Here is a 21,748-nt window from a genome sequence, read left to right as displayed (position 1 = left end):
GACATTTTGACTGATCCTCAGTACATTTGACATGAAGACCAAGTTGACAGGCACACATTTATGTCTGTAACACATACATTTATATCTATGAGTATGCACATGTGTATGTCCTCCTCCTTTAGCAGGAGCAACAAGAGCTCTGGCCTGAGATGGGGGTTGAAAGATGCCATCTTAAGAGAGGACTCAATGAAGTGTTAGGGCCATCATGAACAAGAAAGAAGTTCTCAATGTTTTCCTCATTTCCAGGTGGCACTCACTTCCAGAACCCAATGGCTAGTTATTTTGAAAAGACCAAGGCAGTGAATGTATTGGAGACAGTTGTTCCAGTCTCTCCATTCCTCTATCAGGAAAGATCAAGAAGGAAGAAGCTCAAGGTCTTCTCTTGCTTTGAGAAAAGCTAAATTGTGGAGTCTGAAGGGTGACCTCCATTTCTTGCTTAAAGTCTGAACACCCCTGCCCCTAACACATGCAAACCTGGGCACAGTGATGTGCACCTGTAGTCCCAGTTACTCTGGGGACTTGGGCAAGGGAATCACTTGAGCCCAGGAATTTGAGTCTGTAGTGGCTATTCATAGCCATAAATAGCCTGGCAACATAGTGAGACCCTGTCTGTTAAAATAAAAAATAAAAATAAAATCTGAACACATTCAATTTTATTGATTAATTAAAAATGATTTTGAGTTAAACTTACTGAAAAATAATTGGAAAAGTTTAGCAAACACTTATTTCCAACATCAAGAATTATTAATTGTTAACATTTGTCTTATTTGCTCCTAGTCTTTTCTTTGATGAATATAAAACATTATGGATAAAGCTAATGTCCCCTTGAATCATCACCTCAATCCCATTCCTCTCCCCTTCTCTGTGCCATCACTTCAGTTAGCATTTATGAATTTGATCTGCATCTTCTGACCCATATTTCATTGTTTTCCTACATAATTATAGCCAAGATATAGTATTCGCATTTTTAAGATTAATAAACCAAACATCGCATGTTCTCACTCATAAGTGGGAGTTGAACAGTGAGAACACATGGACACAGGGAGGGGAACATCACACACTGGGGCCTGTCAGGGGGTCGGGGGCAAAGGGAGGGAGAGCATTAGGGCAAATACCTAATGTAGATGATGGGTTGATGGGTGCAGCAAACCACCATGGTATGTGTATACCTATGTAACAAACCTGCATGTTCTGCACGTGTATCCCAGAACTTAAAGTATAATAATAAAAAAAAGAAAAAAAAAGTAATAAATGACTCCTCCACTGGCCACGGCTGTTATTTAGCAAGCTAGGGTCCTAGCATTCAAAGTTATGTCCTCTCTGAGTGAGAACAGACTTTCTGAGGGTGAGGAGATGGTGACTGTGCAAATCTGTATGGATGCCAGTGCAGGCATCTTTGGCCCAGGATGGAGGGCTGTTTCTGAGGAAGTGAAGTGGGCTCTATGGGGAACTGCAGTTCATGCCCGTTTCCTCAGCTTAGAGCTGTCTCAACTAAAAGTAGTAAAAGCTGTTCACCACCTGCAAAATGCAGCTGTGTGGGCTATTTTGAAACAAAGAGAGCGTTAGTATGGCGGTCATTTCCCCAGATCTCTCTTGGTTCACTAGGCAAAAGGTAATGCAGATATTAACGGTAGGGTTTTCTGCGTCTTTCTCTCCCGGCCATTGCTGTGTGTGGTAGGAGGCATCCTGTTGCAATATACATTTAGGGTTTTTTTAGAACCATATAGTTCCTTTAAGGGTTCCTTTAATCATATCAATCTGGATTGTAAGTTGAAGCTAACAGTCCTCCAGCTATAGTAAGAAGAAAGACATTCCTCAAAGAATATTATGGCTTAGCCGGGCATGGTCACATGAACCTATAATTCCACTGCTTTGGGAGGCAGAAGGATTGCTTGACACCAGGAGTTTGAAACTAGCCTGGGCAACACAGTGAGACCCTATCTCTATATAAAATTCAAAAAGTTAGCTGGGCATGGTGGCTCATGTCTGTAGTCCTAGCTACTTGGGAGGTTGAGGCAGGAGGACCACTGAGCCTAGCAGTTTAAGGTTACAGTGAACTATGATTGTGACATTGCACCCCAGCTTGGGGCACAGAGTGGGATCCTGTCTCAAAAAAAAATCTATATATCTCTATCTCTATCTCTGTCTCTATCTCTATCTCTATCTATCTATCATCTATCTATCTATCTATCTATCTATCTATCTATCATCTATCTATCTATCTATCTATCTATCTATCTATCTATCTATCTATGTCTGTATATATAAAGGCTCCATATATCATGTTTAGCCAGAGACTTTGGCATGTATAGCAAAGACCAGAGCAGGTCTGAGCCATCCACACAACCCTGGCTGATGGAGTCTGTGTGTGTGTGCAGCGGATACTCAAGAAAGCCTGATGGCTCTGCTAGACCAAGAAAAGAAGAGACACAAAATCAGGAATGAAAGAGAGGACATTACTACTGACCTTATAGAAGTAAAATGAATTGTAAGGGAATATTATGAATAACTGTTAGACAGCAGATGAATTAGACAAATTCCTAGGAAGATGTAAATTACTGGCTTGGAAAAAATAGAAAAGCTTGATAGACCTACAAGTAAAGAAATTGAACTGGCTTCCCACAAAGAAATGCTCATGCCCAAATAACTTCCCTAGTGAATGCTATCAAATATTTAAATAACAAATACTAGTAGCTTACAAGTTCTTTCAGAAAATAGAGGAGGAAGGAACACTTCCCAGCTCATTCAATGAGGGCAGCATTAACCTGATACAAAAGCCAAAGATGACATGAGAAGAGAAAACTACAGACCAATATTCCTCATGAACATAGGCCCCAAAATTCTTAATAAAATCCTATCAAACCAAGGTCAGCAACATAAAAAAAGGATCATATACCATGACCAATAATATCCCAAGAAATGCAATATTCCTGTATCCCAGAAATGCAAGGTTGAATTAACATTCAAAAATCAATTAATGTGATATACCATATTAATAAAAGTCAAAACTGATATGATCATCTTCACAGATGCAGAAAAAACATTGGAAGAAATTCAGCACCAATTCATGATAAAAACCCTCATCAAACAAGATAGAGGGGTCCTTCCTCATTCTGATAAAGGCATCTACAAATAACCTAGGGCTAATATCATATTTAATGGTGTAGGACTGAATGTTTTCCTCCTAAGATCATGAACAAGGTGAGACTGTCTACTCCCACCACTTCTGTTCAGCTATATACTGGAGGTTCTAGCCAGTATAATGAGGCCAAAAATAAAAAAGACATCCATGTTGCAAAAGAGAAGTAGGACTTTTTAAATTCACAGATGATATAATCCTTTATGTAGAAAATTGGAAGAAATTCACAAAAACACAAATCTAGAACTAATAAATTAGCAATGTTGCAAGAGACAAAAGCAATATACAAAGCTAATTATATTTCCATGTTCTAGCAACAAACTATTCAAAGATGAAATTAAGAAAATAATTCCGGCCGGGCACGGTAGCTCATGCCTGTAATCCCAGCACTTTGGGAGGCCGAGGCAGGTGGTCAGGAGTTCTAGACCAGCCTGGCCAACATGGTAAAACCCTGTCTCTACTAAAAATACAAAAATTCGCCTAGCATGGTGGCAGGCGCGTGTAATCCCAGCTACTGGGGGGGCTGAGGCAGGACTTGAACCTGGGAGGTGGAGGTTGCAGTGAGCCGAGATCATGCCATCGCACTCCAGCCTGAGGGACAAGAGTGAGACTTTGTCTCAAAAAAAAAAAAAAAAAAAAATTCCATTCACAATACGTAAATAAAATCAAAAGGAACAAAATACTTAGGAAAAAATGATCAAAAGTAGTGCTAGATATATACACTGAAAACAACAAAATATTGAAAATATTGCTGAGAGAAATTAAAGAAGATATAAATAAACATCATGTGATGGGTTGGAAGACTCAACTTTGTTAAAGGGTGATTTTCCCTAAATTGATTTACATTCAACAGAATTCTTCTCAAAATCCCAAGCAGGCTATTTTTTTGTAGCAATTGATAAGCTGATCATAAAATTTATATGGAAATACCAAGGACCTTGCAGAGCCCAAACTGTTTTGAGAAGGAAGAATGACACTGGAGAACTTATACAACTCAATGTCAAAATTTACCATTAAAACGACAGTAATCAAGACAGTGTGATATTAGGGTATTGGATAAGCATAGGCATGTACAGTAGGCCTCTCTTTTCTGTGGTTTCAATTTCTGCAGTTACCCATGGTCTACTGTAGCCCAAAAATATTAAGTGGAAAATCCCAGAAATAAACAGTTTATCGGTTTAAGATTCTTATTATAGTATGCTCTTGTAATTGGCCCACTTATTATTATTGTTGTTAGTCTCTTACTGTGCCTAATTTATAAATTAAACTTTACCATAAAGTTTACATATATAGGAAATGCCAGTATAGAAAAAAACATAGAATGTATAGGGTTCTGTACTATCTGCAGTTTCAGGTATCCACTGAGGGGTCTTGGAATATATCCCTTGCCGATGAGAAGAAACTATTGTAAGGCAATGAAGCAGGACTGAGAATGCAGCAATAAACTATATTAAATTAATTTTCACCAGCGGTTCTAAGACAATTTTGTAGGGGAAGTATAGTCTTTTCAACAAATTGAGATGGAGCAGGGGGTTCTTTTAGGGGCTTGTGGGTGGCCCAAGCATGGAAATAAAGAAAAGTCTTGAGTTCCTTCAAGGGACATTCTGGGCACCTATCTAGCTGTATTAGTCAGTCTTCACACCGCTAATAAAGGCATACCTGAGACAGGGTAATTTATAAAGGAAAGAGGTTTAATGGACTCACAGTTTCACATGGCTGGGGAGGCCTCACAATTGTGGCGGAAGATAAAGGAAGAGCACACGGACATCTTACATGGCAGCAGGCAAGAGGGCATGTTCTGGGAAACTCCCCCTTATAAGACCATGAGATCCTGTGAGACTTATTCACTATCACAAATACAGCAAGGGAGAGACTCGCCCCCATGATTCAATTACCTCCCATTGGGTCCCTCCCAGGACACGTGGGAATTATGGGAGCTACAATTCAAGATGAGTTTTGGATGGATCACAGCCAAACCATATCACTAGCCTTGAAAAGTAAATGAACAACTTGATAAGCAAGAAGTTAATAGTAGCTTAAAACAGGAGCCACAGAAGCTAAAGTCAGGAGATGTTTGATTCCCTATAGAAACTAAAGATATCTTAACATATGTACCTGAGTTGTTTTTCAGAAACCCAGACCTCCACCAAACAGATCCACTGGCACACAGATGTCAAATATGAGGGACTTGAGGACTGAACTCTGACCACCGCTATTTGTTTTAGATGTCTTCCTAGGCAGTCTGGCAGAAGTCACACTCCCAGGCCAGAATTAACGTTCTTTTCTGCTGATCCCAAATTTTTAGACAAAGCTTTGTGTCCTTTAATCGCAAATCAGAATTTTTTTTTTTTGCAGCATCTTGCTCTGTCACCCAGGCTGGAGTGCAGTGTGTGCAATCTTGGCTCACTGCAACCTCTGCCTCCCGGGCTCAAGTGATCCTCCCACCTCAGCCTCCCAAATAGTCAAGGTGCCAGCCACCATGCCTAACTAATTTGTGTATTTTTGTAGAGATGGGGTTTCACCACATTGCCTAAGCTAGTCTCAAACTCCTGAGCTCAAGCAATCCATCCGCCTCAGCCTTCCAAAATGCTGGGATTACAGGCGTGAGCCACCATGCCAGGCCTCAAATCAGAAAATCTTTGAATCCACCTATGACCTATGGGCCTCTACTTCAAGATGTCCCACCTTTTTAGGTCAAACCAATGTGTAGCCTCCATGTATTGATTTATGACTTTGCCTGTAACTGCCTCGCCATCCTAAAAAACCCTTACCTGTAAACCATCTGGGAGTTTGGGTCTTAAGTATGAGCTGCCCAATTCTCCCTGTTTGGTGCCCTGCAATACATGCCTCACTTTCTCTTGCTGCAAATCCCAATGTCAGTGTTTGGCTTTGCTGCACCAAGTGAGAGACCCCAGTTCGGTTCCATAACAAAATGGTGCTGGGACAACTGCATATCTATATGCAACACTTCAGAAAAAATAGATAAGCTGGACTTCATTATAGTTGAAAACTTCAGCTCTTCAAAAAACACCACTAACAAAATGAAAAGACAAGTTAAACAGACTGGGTAATAAGATTTGCAAATCATGTACCTGACAAACGACTTATATCTAGAATATACATATTTTGTTTTACTTTTTTTTTTTTCGAGACAGATTATCTCCTGTTGCCCAGGCTGGAGTGCAGTAGCACGACCATGACTCACTGCAGCTTCAACCTCTTCAGGCTCAGGTGATCCTCCCACCTCAGCCTCCCTAGTAGCTGAGACTACAGTCATGCACCACCATGCCCAGCTAATTTTTTTGGTATTTTTTTGTAGAGATGGAGTTTTGCTTATGTTGCCCATGCTGGTCTCAAACTCCTGGGCTCAAGCTATCTGCCCACCTCAGCCTCCCAAAATGCTAGAATTACAGGTGTGAGCCATCATACCCAGCCTAGAATATATTTTTAAAACTCCTAAATGGGCAATGGATTTGAAGAGATATTTCACTAAAGAAGATATACAAATGGTTAACAAGTACATGAAAAAGGTGTTCAACATCATTAATCACTAGAGAAATATAAATTAAAACCACAATGAAATATCCATTTACTTTTACCAGAATGGCTGAAATAAAAAAGAAAGCATTCATGAGCGTAAGGGAGTGGAGAAACTGGAATCCTTTAATATTATTGGTGGGAAGTTAAAACGGTGCAGATATGTTGGCAAATGGCTTCTTAAAATGTTAAACGTAACCCAGTAATTCCAGTTCTAGGAATATACACAAGAGAAATGATAACATCTGTCCTCATGACGTTGAACTTTATTTGAGCCTGTGCTCCTGGAAAGCAGCAACGCGGAGAAAATACCCACACTTTTGTATTTGTAAGAAAGACTACCCACAAAGAATCACTGTTATGGACTTAATTATGTCCCACCCACGCCCCAATTCATATATTGAGGTCTTAACCCACAGTACACCTCAGAATGTGATTATACTTGGACACAGGGCTTTTAAAGAGGTAATTAAGGTTAAATGAGGTAATGAGGATGGGGCTCCAATCCAACAGAACTGGTGTTTTAATGAGAAGAGGAAGCAATATCAGGAAAGCACGTACACACAGGAAAGTCCAAGTGAGGACACAGCAAGAGGCAGCCATCTGCAAGCCAAAAAGAGAGTCCATGGCAGAAACCAACTCTACTGACACCTTGATCTTAGACATCCAGCCTCCAGAACTCTGAGAAAATACGAGTTTTGTTGTTTAAGCCACCCAGTCTGTGGTATTTCATTATGGCAGTCCTAGCGGACTAACACAACCACCTTGCTCTTGCATATTTCCTGCCATCATTCCTTAGGACTCCTATAAGACTCACTGGTGGCTCTCTTGCTTACCCGCTTCTATAAAATCCCAGGTCTTCTTTTTTTTTTTTCTCCTGGAGATGTTTTTCATTAATGAACATTTTGCCTATTATAAAAGCTTGAATGAAATCATCTCCTTAATTGCTCAGCACATTTTGTCTTTTATGTCCATCACAAAGACTTGTACGCAATTACTCATAGCAGCATTATTTGAAAACTGGAAAGAATCCAAATGTCAATTAATTAATGAATTGATAAACAAATGTAGTATGCCCATACAATGGAATTCTATTTAGAAATAAAAAGGAATGATATAGTACTGATACATGCTACAACATAGATGAACCTTGAAAACATTATGCTAAATGAAAAAAGCTAAGTGCAGAAGACTACATATAGTATGACATGAAATGTCCAGAGAGGGCAAATTTAGAGAAAGAGAAAGCAGATCAGGCTAACCTGGAGCTGGATATGGAAGTGGAGTATGTCTGCAAATGGGCTAAAGGAAATTGGGCAGGGTTCTAAAATTGGAATGTGGTGACGATTGTACAACTATACAGATTCTAAAAGTCATGAATTGTATACTTACAATGGGTGAATTTATGGCATATAAATTTTAACAAAGCTATAGAAAATAACAGGAACAAAACATAAAAATCAAATGCTGCAACAAACTATGAAAATTCACTATCAGAACAAATTGTACCCAAAGAGTGGATTAAGCATCCAGACTTCTGGTGTTTTGCATTGTAGGCTCATTGACTCGGCTTCTACAGAGCACTGTGAGTGGAACTGGGAGAGAAATCCCTCCGCAAATTCAGGGTTCGTGTTTGATCCACATATCTAGAACCACCCATCAGAGCAGCACCCTCACCACAATAGTCAAAGATTGATAGTTATACTTTATATGTTCCAGTGTAGTAGAAATAAAGAACAAAGAAACTAACTCGATGAGGAAATAGACTATAGTTGAAGCTATTGATCATGGAGCCAAATAAAGATAACACAATGAAAGACTGCAAACAATTTTACCCTTCTTATTGCGAAGAAACAGAGTTAATAATTTTTTATAATTGCATCATTAAAAATTGTGTTGAATCTTTTTTAAAAAAATTCATTTTTAGTTAGATATTTACAAATGAGGCCAATACCCATTAACTAGTCTGTGGATGTTGAACATATGAAAACAGACTTAAGAAGATGCTTTCTCTTCCAACTGTAATACAAGTTTACTTAAACATTGGCACCGATCTTTCTTCCCATTATACTCCTCTCTTCAGAATCTTCCTCCTACCACACGTCTCTGCTTATTATAAATTCCCATTCAGCCATAAGACTTAGCTCTAATGTGATTTAATAGTTCATTTCTTCTTGAATCATCATTACTTGCATAAATATATTATTGATTGCACTTGAATGTAAGGAATGATGCCTTATTTTTTTTCATGGGGTAGCCTCTAGAGTATGGAGCACTTGGTAAACTTCCCTAAATATGCTTTTTGAATTGAATGGAATGTATTACCCCCTGGTGGCTGAATAGGAGAACAACTTCGGACTTTGTTAAACGACATCACCCCCACTCCCTTGTTCCTCAAACTACTGTGGATTTTGGAGAGCTCCAATTGTGGAAATTAATTCAAGGGAATTTGGGGGGGTGGGTGATGTTGATGTTCTAAAACTGGAATGTGATGATTGCACAGCCTTCAAAATCAAGAGTAGCTTAGGCCGTTGGTGGAGATTGCAATTTCAGAAATTACCTTTTTTTCCTTTTTTCCTCTTTTTTCATTTCTTCCCACTCCTGGTCCTCTTCATTTTTCTCATTTCTCCCTTGTGAATCTTTCCTCCACCTTATCTACTCATTTTAATTTTTTTCTTCTTTCACTTCTTGTTCTTATCTTTTCATTGCTGAGTTCTTTTGCTTCCTTTTGATTTTTGCCTGTTTGTATTCAATTATTTCCAGTGTGATCACACAAAAACACTACCTTTTTTTCTTTTGGTGTGTTTAATGGACACAGTTGGCCAGACTCCAAATTCAGCCACTGATGTCTTCAAATATAATGTCTTGCATTTTTTTCCTTAGGACAGAGTCTTGCTGTGTTGCTGCCCAGGCTGGAGGGCAGTGGTGTGATCATAGCTCACTGTGGCCTTGAGCTCCTGGGCTCAAATGATCTTCCCACCTCAGCCTCCCGAGTAGCTGGAACTACAGGCACACATGACCTCACCCGTGTCTTGCATTTTTACAGCATTTTTATTGTAAACTTTTTTCCAGTGTGGTTTCCCTTTTATGCTCTGGTTTTCCCTTCTATGCTCTGGTTTCTCATCTATTTTAATATCTGGCAAGAAGTCTTCTTAAAGCAAACATACAGGCATTAGAATTATCTCCATTCAACCATAAAGCAAACTAAATCAGAGGAAGAATAAACACTTGTCTGAGATCACAGATACTCAGTCTGAGCTTTGTTCCCACATCTCGTCTATCATTGCACCAATCCTTCTAAAAAGCTGGTTTCTGAAAGGTTGGGATCAAACTTCTTTACCATCATAGTTTAACAATCACATTTGTCCCTGTAATTATTTCATAATTTTTGACATTTTATTTATTTATTTATTTATTTATTTATTTATTTATTTATTTATTGAGATGGAGTTTTACTCTTGTTGCCCAGGTTGGAGTGCAATGGCACCATCTGGGCTCACTGCAACTTCCGCCTCCCAGGTTCAAGTGATTCTCCTGCCTCAGCCCCCTGAGTAGCTGGGATTACAGGCGCCCGCCACCAAGCCCAGCTAATTTTGTATTTTTAGTAGAGACGGGGTTTCACCATGTTGGCCAGGCTGGTCTCGAACTCCTGACCTCAAGTGATCTGCCTGCCTCGGCCTCTCAAAGTGCTGGGATTACAGGCATGAGCCACTGCGCCTGGCTGACATTTTATTTCTTTAAGTTTAGTGACACAATGAATGTGATTGTTCACAATTCACCTGGGATTATAGAAACTTAAAGCCAAAAGAATTAAAAGTGACCTAATTCAAATTATTTCAGCAAATGACAAAACTGAGGCTCAGAGAAGTGAAATGGCTTAACTGATGTCACATAGTTCATTGGTAACACAGCGAACAATAAAACCCAGGTCTCTTGGATTCCAGTTTAGTGTACTTTCCGGGGCTTTGTGCAGTCTACTAAGCACAGTTTGGAAGTGGTAGGGTAGAGCTGTGAAGACACAGAACCCTGGGCCCAAACAGACCAAACAGTAGATTAAGAGAAAATGAATTTTTTTTTTTTTGAATCTCAGCTCAGCCACTTGCCAAACCATATTAGGTAAGTTATTTAAGCATCAGCTTCCTTATCTGTAAACCAATGATAAAATCCAGTACAGTTCTGTTTGAAGATTCAAAATAAAAACTACTTGGTAGAGTAAAAATGTGTAGCTTGATAAAAGGTACCTAGATTCTGAGACCAGTATAGCTAAGAAGATGGTCTTCGGATCAAACAGCTGGTGTTTTTAGCTGTTGGAACTTTGGAAAGCTTTTTAACTTCTTTGAAAGTTATTTCCTCATCTTTAAAATGGGAAAAACAATGCTATTTGCCTCGTAGCGTTTCCAGAAGCTCAAATGAAATCATTCATAAGAAATTAATATGTGTTTGGCATACAAGTCAGAGTTCAATAAATGCATGCTGTGATCAGCCCTCTTCCCACGTTCTAATGGAAGTTCAGATCTCTTAAAGGGCAAAACTTTGAACTAAAAAATTTAGTCTAGAAAACACTTTATTATAAAACATTAGCTTCTTTCCAAAGTAATGATATTTTCAAGGAAATAAGGAGTAAAGACTTTTCATTATCACATGAAGATAATAGCTACCAAGAATGTGCCATGTGGGTGCCAGGTCTTTACATACGGTCTCTCATTTAGGTTTCAGAATACTCATATGCAGACAGATTAAGTACCTGGTCCAGGATCACTCTGCTAATGCGATGTTTAATCCTGGTCCAGATCACTCCAAACTCTCTGGCATTCCACTGTCCCATTTTAATTCTGCCTCCCAAACTGAACTATTTATTGAGAGCATTAAAACTTGAGACTATCAACAATTGCTCTAGCTTTTTGACAACCTATTCTAATTACCAAAAGCAGCAAGAGAGAACATCGATATAAAGCTTTTATGATGCCAGGAAAAACCCTTTTATTTTTTTCTAAATTATACTTTAAGTTTTAGGGTACATGTGCACAACGTACAGGTTTGTTACATATGTATACACGTGCCATGTTGGTGTGCTGCACCCATTAACTTGTCGTTTACATTAGGTATATCTCCTAACGCTATCCCTCCCCATTCCCCCAACCCCACAACAGGCCCCAGTGTGTGATGTTCCCCTTCCTGTGTCCATGTGTTCTCATTGTTCAATTCCCACCTATGAGTGAGAACATGCGGTGTTTGGTTTTTTGTCCTTGCGAGGGTTTGCTGAGAATGATGGTTTCCAGCTTCATCCATGTCCCTGCAAAGGACATGAACTCATCATTTTTTATAGCTGCATAGTATTCCATGGTGTATATGTGCCACATTTTCTTAATCCAGTCTATCATTGTTGGACATTTGGCTTGGTTCCAAATCTTTGCTGTTGTGAATAGTGCTGCAATAAACATACGTGTGCATGTGTCTCTATAGCAGCATGATTTATAATCCTTTGGGTATATACCCAGTAATGGAATGGCTGGGTCAAATGGTATTTCTAGTTCTAGATCCCTGAGGAATCACCACACTGACTTCCACAATGGTTGAACTAGTTTACAGTCCCACCAACAGTGTAAAAGTGTTCCTATTTCTCCACATCCTCTCCAGCACCTGTTGTTCCCTGACTTTTTAATGATCGCCATTCTAACTGTGTGAGATGGTATCTCATTGTGGTTTTGATTTGCATTTCTCTGATGGCCAGTGATGACGAGTATTTTTTCAAGTGTCTTTTGGCTGCATAAATATCTTCTTTTGAGAAGTGTCTGTTCATATCCTTCGCCCACTTGTTGATGGGGTTGTTTTTTTCTTGTAAATTTGTTGGAGTTCATTGTAGGTTCTGGATATTAGCCCTTTGTAAGATGAGTAGATTGCAAACATTTTCTCCCATTCTGTAGGTTGCCTGTTCACTCTGATGGTAGTTTCTTTTGCTGTGCAGAAGCTCTTTAGTTTAATTAGATTCCATTTGTCAATTTTGGCTTTTGTTGCCATTGCTTTTGGTGTTTTAGACATGAAGTCCTTGCCTATGCCTATGTCCTGAATGGTATTGCCCAGGTTTTCTTCTAGAGTTTTTATGGTTTTAGGTCTAACATTTAAGTCTTTAATCCATCCATCTTGAATTAATTTTTGTATAAGGTGTAAGGAAGGGATCCAGTTTCAGCTTTCTATGTATGGCTAGCCAGTTTTCCCTGCACCATTTACTAAATAGGGAATCATTTCCCCATTTCTTATTATTGTCAGGTTTGTCAAAGATCAGATAGTTGTAGATATGTGGCATTATTTCTGAGGGCTCTATTCTGTTCCATTGGTCTATATCTCTGTTTTGGTACCAGTACCATGCTGTTTTGGTTACTGTAGCCTTGTAGTATAGTTTGAAGTCAGGTAGTGTGATGCCTCCAGCTTTGTTCTTTTGGCTTAGGATTGACTTAGCAATGCAGGCTCTTTTTTGGTTCCATATGAACTTTAAAGTGGTTTTTTCCAATTGTGTGAAGAAAGTCATTGGTAGCTTGATGGGGATGGCATTGAATCTATAAATTACCTTGGGCAGTATGGCCATTTTCACGATATTGATTCTTCCTATCCATGAGCAGGAAATGTTCTTCCATTTGTTTGTATCCTCTTTTATTTCCTTGAGCAGTGGTTTGTAGTTCTCCTTGAAGAGGTCCTTCACATCCCTTGTAAGTTGGATTCCTAGGTATTTTATTCTCTTTGAAGCAATTGTGAATGGGAGTTCACTCATGATTTGGATCTCTGTTTGTCTGTTATTGGTGTATAAAATGCTTGTGATTTTTACACATGGATTTTGTATCATGAGACTTTGCTGAAGTTGCTTATCAGCTTATGGAGATTTTGGGCTGAGACCAAGGGGTTTTCTAGATATACAGTCATGTCATCTGCAAACAGGGACAATTTGACTTCCTCTTTTCCTAATTGAATACCCTTTATTTCCTTTTCCTGCCTGATTGCCCTGGCCAGAACTTCCAACACTATGTTGAATAGGAGTGGTGAGAGAGGGCATCCCTGTCTTGTGCCAGTTTTCAAAGGGAATGCTTCCAGTTTTTGCCCATTCAGTATGATATTGGCTGTGGGTTTGTCATAGATAGCTCTTATTATTTTAAGATACATCCCATCGATACCTAATTTATTGAGAGTTTTTAGCATGAAGGACTGTTGAATTTTGTCAAAGGCCTTTTCTGCATCTATTGAGATAATCATGTACTTTTTGTCATTGGTTCTGTTTATATGCTGGATTACGTTTATTGATTTGCATATGTTGAACCAGCGTTGCATCCCAGGGATGAAGCCCACTTGATCATGGTGGATAAGCTTTTTGATGTGCTGCTGGATTCAGTTTGCCAGTATTTTATTGAGGATTTTTGCATTGTTATTCATCAGGGATATTGGTCTAAAATTCTCTTTTTTTGTTGTGTGTCTGCCAGGCTTTGGTATCAGGATGATGCTGGCCTCATAAAATGAGTTAGTGAGGATTCTCTCTTTTTCTATTGATTGGAATAGTTTCAGAAGGAATGGTACCAGCTCCTCCTTGTACCTCTGGTAGAATTCGGCTGTGAATCCATCTGGTCCTGTACTTTTTTTGGTTGCTAAGCTATTAATTATTGCCTCAATTTCAGTGCCTGTTATTGGTCTATTCAGAGATTCTACTTCTTCCTGGTTTAGTCTTGGGAGGGTGTATGTGTCGAGGAATTTATCCATTTCTTCTAGATTTTCAAGTTTATTTGCATAGAGGTGTTTATAGTATTCTCTGATGGTAGTTTGTATTTCTGTGGGATCAGTGGTGATATCCACTTTATCATTTTTTATTGCATCTATTTCATTCTTCTCTCTTTTCTTCTTTATTAGTCTTGCTAGCAGTCTATCAATTTTGTTGATCTTTTCAAAAAACCAGCTCCTGGATTCATTGAATTTTTGAAGGGTTTTTTGTGTCTCTATCTCCTTCAGTTCTGCTCTGATCTTAGTTATTTCTTGCCTTCTGCTAGCTTTTGAATGTGATTACTCTTGCTTCTCTAGTTCTTTTAATTGTGATGTTAGGGTGTCAATTTTAGATCTTTCCTGCTTTCTCTTGTGGGCATTTAGTGCTGTAAATTTCCCTCTACACACTGCTTTAAATGTGTCCCAGAGATTCTGGTATGTTGTGTCTTTGTTCTCGTTGGTTTCAAAGAACATCTTTATTTCTGCCTTCATTTCGTTATGTATGCAGTAGCCATTCAGGAGCAGGTTGTTCAGTTTCCATGTAGTTGAATGGTTTTGAGTGAGTTTCTTAATCCTGAGTTCTAGTTTGTTTGCACCGTGGTCTGAGGGACAGTTTGTTATAATTTCTGTTCTTTTACATTTGCTGAGGAGTGCTTTACTTCCAACTATGTGGTCAATTTTGGAATAAGTGCAGTGTGGTGCTGAGAAGAATGTATATTCTGTTGATTTGGGGTGGAGAGTTCTGTAGATGTCTATTAGGTCCGCTTGGTGCAGAGCTGAGTTCAATTCCTGGATATCCTTGTTAACTTTCTGCCTCGTTGATCTGTTTAATGTTGACAGTGGGGTGTTAAAGTCTCCCATTATTATTGTGTGGGAGTCTTAAGTCTCTTTGTAGGTCTCTAAGGACTTGCTTTATGAATCTGGGTGCTCCTGTATTGGGTGCATATATATTTAGGATAGTTAGCTCTTCTTGTTGAATTGATCCCTTTACCATTATGTAATGGCCTTCTTGGTCTCTTTTGATCTTTGTTGGTTTAAAGTCTGTTTTATCAGAGACTAGGATTGCAACCCCTGCCTTTTTTTGTTTTCCATTTGCTTGGTAGATCTTTCTCCATCCCTTTATTTTGAGCCTAAGTGTGTCTCTGCACGTGAGATAGGTTTCCTGAATACAGCACACTGATGGGTCTTGACTCTTGATCCAATTTGCCAGTCTGTGTCTTTTAATTGGAGCATTTAGCCCATTTACATTTAAGGTTAACATTGTTATGTGTGAATTTAATCCTGTCATTATGATGTTAGCTGGTTATTTTGCTCGTTAGTTGATGCAGTTTCTTCCTAGCATCGATGGACTTTACAATTTGGCATGTTTTTGCAGTGGCTGATACTGGTTGTTCCTTTCCATGTTTAGTGCTTCCTTCAGGAGCTCTTGTAGGGCAGGCCTGGTGGTGACAAAATGTCTCAACATTTGCTTGTCTGTAAAGTATTTTATTTCTCCTTCACTTATGAAGCTTAGTTTGGCTGGATATGAAATTCTGGGTTGAAAATTCTTTTCTTTAAGAATGTTGAATATTGGCCCCCACTCTCTTCTGGCTTGTAGAGTTTCTGCCGAGAGATCAGCTGTTAGTCTGATGGGCTTCCCTTTGTGGTAACCCGACCTTTCTCTCTGGCTGCCTTTAACATTTTTTCCTTTGTTTCAACTTTGGTGAATCTGACAATTATGTGTCTTGGAGTTGCTCTTCCCAAGGAGTATCTTTGTGGCATTCTCTGTATTTCCTGAATTTGAATGTTGGCCTGCCTTGCTAGATTGGGGAAGTTTTCCTGGATAATATCCTGCAGAGTGTTTTCCAACTTTGTTGCATTCTCCCCGTCACTTTCAGGTACACCAATCAGATGTAGATTCGGTCTTTTCACATAGTCCCATATTTCTTGGAGGCTTTGTTCATTTCTTTTTATTCTTTTTTTTCTGACTTCTCTTCTCGCTTCATTTCATTCATTTGATCTTCCATCACTGATAACCTTTCTTCCAGTTGATCAAATCGGCTACTGAAGCTTGTGCATTCATCACGTAGTTCTCGTGCCATGGTTTTCAGCTCCATGAGGTCCTTTAAGGACTTCTCTGCATTGGTTATTATTCTAGTTAGCCATTCATCTAATCTTTTTTCAAGGTTTTTAACTTCTCTGCCATGGGTTCGAACTTTCTCCTTTAGCTCAGAGAAGTTTGATCGTCTGAAGCCTTCTTCTCTCAACTTGTCAAAGTCATTCTCCGTCCAGCTTTGTTCCATTGCTGGTGAGGAGCTGCATTCCTTTGGAGGAGGAGAGGCTCTCTGATTTTCAGAATTTTCAGTTTCTCTGCTCTGTTTTTTCCCCATCTTTGTGGTTTTATCTACTTTTGGTCTTTGATGATGGTGACGTACAGATGGGGTTTTGGTGTGGATGTCCTTTCTGTTTGTTAGTTTTCCTTCTAACAGTCAGGACCCTCAGCTGCAGGTCTGTTGGAGTTTGCTGGAGGTCCACTCCAGACCCTGTTTGCCTGGGTATCAGCAGCGGAGGCTGAAGAACAGTGAATATTGCTGAACAGCAAATATTGCTGCCTGATTGTTCCTCTGGAAGTTTTGTCTCAGAGGAGTACCCGGCTGTGTGAGGTGTCAGTCTGCCCCTACTGGGGGGTGCCTCCCAGTTAGGCTACTCGGGGGTCAGGGACCCACTTGAGGAGGCAGTCTGCCTGTTCTCAGATCTCAAGCTGCGTGCTGGGAGAACCACTACTCTCTTCAAAGCTGTCAGACAGGGACATTTAAGTCTGCAGAGGTTTCTGCTGCCTTTTGTTTGGCTATGCCTTGCCCCCAGAGGTGGAGTCTACAGAGGCAGGCAGGCCTCCTTGAGCTGCGGTGGGCTCCAACCAGTTTGAGCTTCCTGGCCGCTTTGTTTACCTACTCAAGCCTCACCAATGGGGGGCGCCCCTCCTCCAGCCTCGCTGCCACCTTGCAGTTTGGTCTCAGACTGCTGTGCTAGCAATGAGTGAGGCTCCATGGGCACAGGACCCTCTGAGCCAGGCACGGGATGTAATCTCCTGGTGTGCTATTTGCTAAGACTGTCGGAAAATCGCAGTATTAGGGTGGGAGTGACCTGATTTTCCAGGTGCCATCTGTCACCCTGTTCCTTGGCTAGGAAAGGGAATTCCCTGACCCCTTGCACTTCCTGGGTGAAGTGATGCCTCGCCCTGCTTCGGCTCATGCTCAGTGCGCTGCACCCACTGTTCTGCACCCACTGTCCGACAATCCCCAGTGAGATGAACCCAGTACCTCAGTTGGAAATGCAGAAATCATTCATATTCTGCATTGCTCATGCTGGGAGCTGTAGACTGGAGCTGTTCCTGTTCGGCCATCTTGGAACTGCCCCCCCTTTTAACTTTTATTCCTTGAAATCTCTTGGACATTCTCTAGTGAACCTCCTACCACAACTGGCTTTTGAATCCTGTATTAGTCTGCTAGGGCTGCCATGAAAAAATACTGTAGACTGAGAGGCTTAAACAACAGAAATTTATTTTCTCATAGTTCTAGAGGCTGGAGATCCAAGAACAAGGCACTGGCAGTCTTGGTTTCTCCTGCAGCCTCTCTCCTTGGCTTACAGATGGCTCTGGCCCCACTATGCGTTCTCATGCCCTTTCCTCTGTGCACCTGCATTTCTGTCTCTCTTCCTCTTAAAAAAAAAAAAATGGGCAGCCTCCTGAGGTTGAGTAGGCTCAGAGAGACTTCCTCTTTGACTCTTCTTATGAGAATACAAGTCCTGTTAGATTAGGGCCCTACCGTTACAACTTCATTTAAGCTTAAATGCCTTTGCAAAGATCCTGTCTCCAAATACAGTCACATTGGGAGTTAGGGATTCAGCATATGAATCTGAGGCACTGGGGGAAACAATTCAGCCTATAACGAATGCTTCAATAGTTTAGCCTCAAGGCCATAAAGCATTTTCTAGAAATACTCGCAGAGACATGACTGACAAGCACGATCATAAATCATGTCTAAGCCCCCAGAATTATAGAATGTGAGAGCCAGAAGAGACCCTAGAGGTCTATTTCAGTGCCATTATTTTTCAGTTATTGAAACTTGGGCCCAAGATGGGGAAGCAGCTTGTGTGAGGACTACCTCGCATCCGTCCATATTGGAACCCAGAACTTCTCATGTGGTGCAGGGCTTATTCAACTGCAGTGCTGCTGCTAATTCAAATCTGATTTTATATATAATATCATCCTTGCTTTTTCCCCATCTTAAATTTCACCAATGAATTCATTCACACTTGAGAAGATTAGATTCAGCTCAGTCCAAGCACTTAACTTGGAAATGCATTGTTTCATTTATTCCTCCTTGTAGCCCTGTGTGGAAGACTGTATCATTTTATAGATAAGGACACCTGAGAGTTTAAGTGACTTGCTCAAGTTTCCCCAACTAGTGAGAGACAAAGCCTGATGTGGACATGGATTTGAAGACTCATGCGTGATTAATTGAATGGCTCATGTGTTTGCTCACTTTGAAGGCTGATTCATTAGCTTCTTTCCCTATCCCCATTATGACTTACGACTGCAAGTTCAACAACAGGTGGTGAAAGAGGACAACTACAGACCTTCACAGGGCCTTGGAAAAGGATTCCTTTATTGTTCTGCAAAAAGGATCACTGGGGAAAGCCAAGAGTTCCTACTTAGCAGGACTAGGGTCACTTTAGGCAGGAGGGCTAGAGAATATTTTATAACAAAAACACTTTACAGTGACTGTAAAAACACAAACCTGTTCATGATTTTAAAAAACATAAACAGTATAGAAAAGTACAAAGAGTAAATTATCTCGTCTTCCTGGCTCATCCCCAGTTGCATTCTCCAGAGATAACTGTTGTTCTGTGTCTATTCAGACACATTTTAAAAAATATATGTAAGCACTTGCATAATGTATGTAAATTATACTTTAGGGTAATACTATAACTATTGCTCTGAAATTTACTTTTAAAAAATCTCTTAACAGTATGTCTTTGACATGTTTTCATGTAAATATATGTACTTCCATTTCATCCTTCTTTTTTTGTTCTTCTTTTTTTTTTTTTTTTTCCAGTCAGGATCTCACTCTGTCTCCCAGGCTGGAGTGTGGTGGAGTGTAGTAGTGCAATCTTGCCTTACCGCAGCCTCGACTGCCTGGGCTTAAGCGATCCTCTCACTTCAGCCTCCCCAGTAGCCAGGACTGCAGGCATGCGACACCACTCTCTGCTAGCTTTTGTGGGTTTTTTTTTGTCTTTTTTTTTTTGTAGAAACGGGGTTTGGCCATGTTGCCCAGGCTGGTCTTGAACTCCTGGGCTCAAGTAATCTGCCCACCTTGGCCTCTCAAAGTTCATTCTTTTTAATGATGGAAAAATATTTCAGGCTGGACGCGGTGGCTCACACCTGTAATCCCAGCACTGTAGGAAGCCAAGGCGGGTGCATCACTTGATGTCAGGAGTTTGAGACCAGCCTGGCCAACATGGTGAAACCATGTCTTTACTAAAAAAACAAAAATTAGCTGAGCATTGTGGCGGGCACCTGTAATCCCAACTACTCAGGAGGCTGAAGCAGGAGAATTGCTTGAACCTGGGAGGTGGAGCGCCACTGCACTCCAGCCTGGGCAACACGGCGAGACTTGTCTCAAAAAAAAAAAAAATGATAAAAACATTTCATTGTAGGGATATACAATAATTTTAAATTAAATCATTCCCGTAATAGGCTGAGTAATGGCCCCCAAATGTCTACACTGTCTACATCATAATCCCTGGAACCTGTACATGTTACCCTATTTAAAGAAATGATCTTTACAGATGTGTTTAAGAATTTTGAGGCTGGGCGCAGTGGCTCATGCCTGTAATCCCAGCACTTTGGGAGGCTGAGGTGGGCGGATCACCTGAGGTCAGGAGTTTGAGATCAGCCTGGCCAACATGGAGAAACCCTGTCTCTACTAAAAATACAAAATTAGCCAGGGTGGTCGCGGGCACCTGTAATCCCAGCTACTCGGGAGGCTGAGGCAGGAGAATCGCTTGAACTCGGGAGATGGAGGTTGCAGTGAGCTGAGATGGTGCCATTGCACTCTAGCCTGGGCAACAAGAGCAAAACTCTGTCTCAAAAAAAAAAGAAAGAATTTTGAGAAGGGGAGATCATCCTGTATGATTGAGAGGGGGTGTGGGGAGGTGCTAAATGCAATCATTAGTGTCCGTATAAGAGAGAGGCAGAGGGAACTTTGACATATACAGAAAAAGTGAGAAGACAGAGGTTGAGATTGGAGCATGGAGGTTACAAGCTAAGAAATGTGGGCAGTCACCAGGAGCTGGAAGACACAAGAGATGGAGTCTCTTTTTGAGCCTCCAGAGGAAGTGTGGCCCTGCTGGCACCTTGATTTTGGACCAGTGATACTGATTTCAGACTTCTGGCTTCCAGAATGGTGAAAGAATACATTTATTATGTTTTCAGCAAAATAAGTTTGCTTAAAACAAGTTTGGGGTAGTTTGTTATAGCAGCCACAGGAAACATATAGTTCTTTTACTGATGAACATTTAGGATGTTTACAATAAATGTTTAAAATAAATATAACTTTACCCACTTGGACAATTATATTTGTAGGACAAATTCCAAGAACTAGAATATCTGAGGCAAAGCATATGGACATAAAAACAAAAATTTCATCATGCCTAAAGAGAATATTTTATATATTCTAAATGGATTCCAAGTACTATATGTCAAAATGTACACCTTTGAATTTACAAATTTAATTATGTTTGTTGGCTGGGCTCAGTGGCTCACATCTGTAATCCCAGCACTTTAGGAGGATGAGGTGGGAGGATTACTTGAAGCTAGGAGTTTGAGATCAGCCTGGGCCACATAGTGAGACCACATCTCTACAAAAATAGAAATGAAAAAATAAAAATAAATAAAATGTCTATAGAAGAGGAAATATCCATGAATAGGTTCATTTTCATAAAGGAAAGGCAAGAAGGACGACTAGACTCCCAGATATTAACAAATACTGCAAAGCCACAGCAACAAAAGCATTATGGTACATAAGTGTGGGTAAATAGCCCGATGGGGCAGAACAGAGAGCTCAGAAGCAAAGCTGTGTACATGAGAACTTGATATATGAGGTTGACACCACAAGTCAGTGGAGAAAGGCAACAGTGCCTCACTATTGGAGAAAAGTAAAATTAGGTCCTTACTTCATTCTGTGTGAAGGTAAATTTCAGATCAACCAAGATCCAATGGAAAGATAAAACTATAAAGTTAAAAAAAGAAAATGTAGGAAGAGTATCTTTTTGGGGGTAGAAGAGAGGTAGGGT

The 21,748-nt window shown here is 40.2% G+C and overlaps 1 protein-coding gene across 4 annotated transcripts in view; it reads left to right on the top strand.

The window, feature by feature from the left end:
- OSBPL10 (oxysterol binding protein like 10) overlaps positions 1–21,748 on the top strand; it is a 416,868-nt gene that overhangs the window by 49,427 nt on the left and 345,693 nt on the right. The gene's annotated exons all lie outside the window — the stretch shown is intronic.

Source organism: Homo sapiens, chromosome 3, assembly GCF_000001405.40.
Source record: "Homo sapiens chromosome 3, GRCh38.p14 Primary Assembly".
In the NCBI taxonomy this organism is placed as follows: Eukaryota; Metazoa; Chordata; class Mammalia; order Primates; family Hominidae; genus Homo; species Homo sapiens.
The sequence above is the reverse complement of the archived record's forward strand: the minus strand, read 5'-3'. Positions and strand labels throughout refer to the sequence as shown.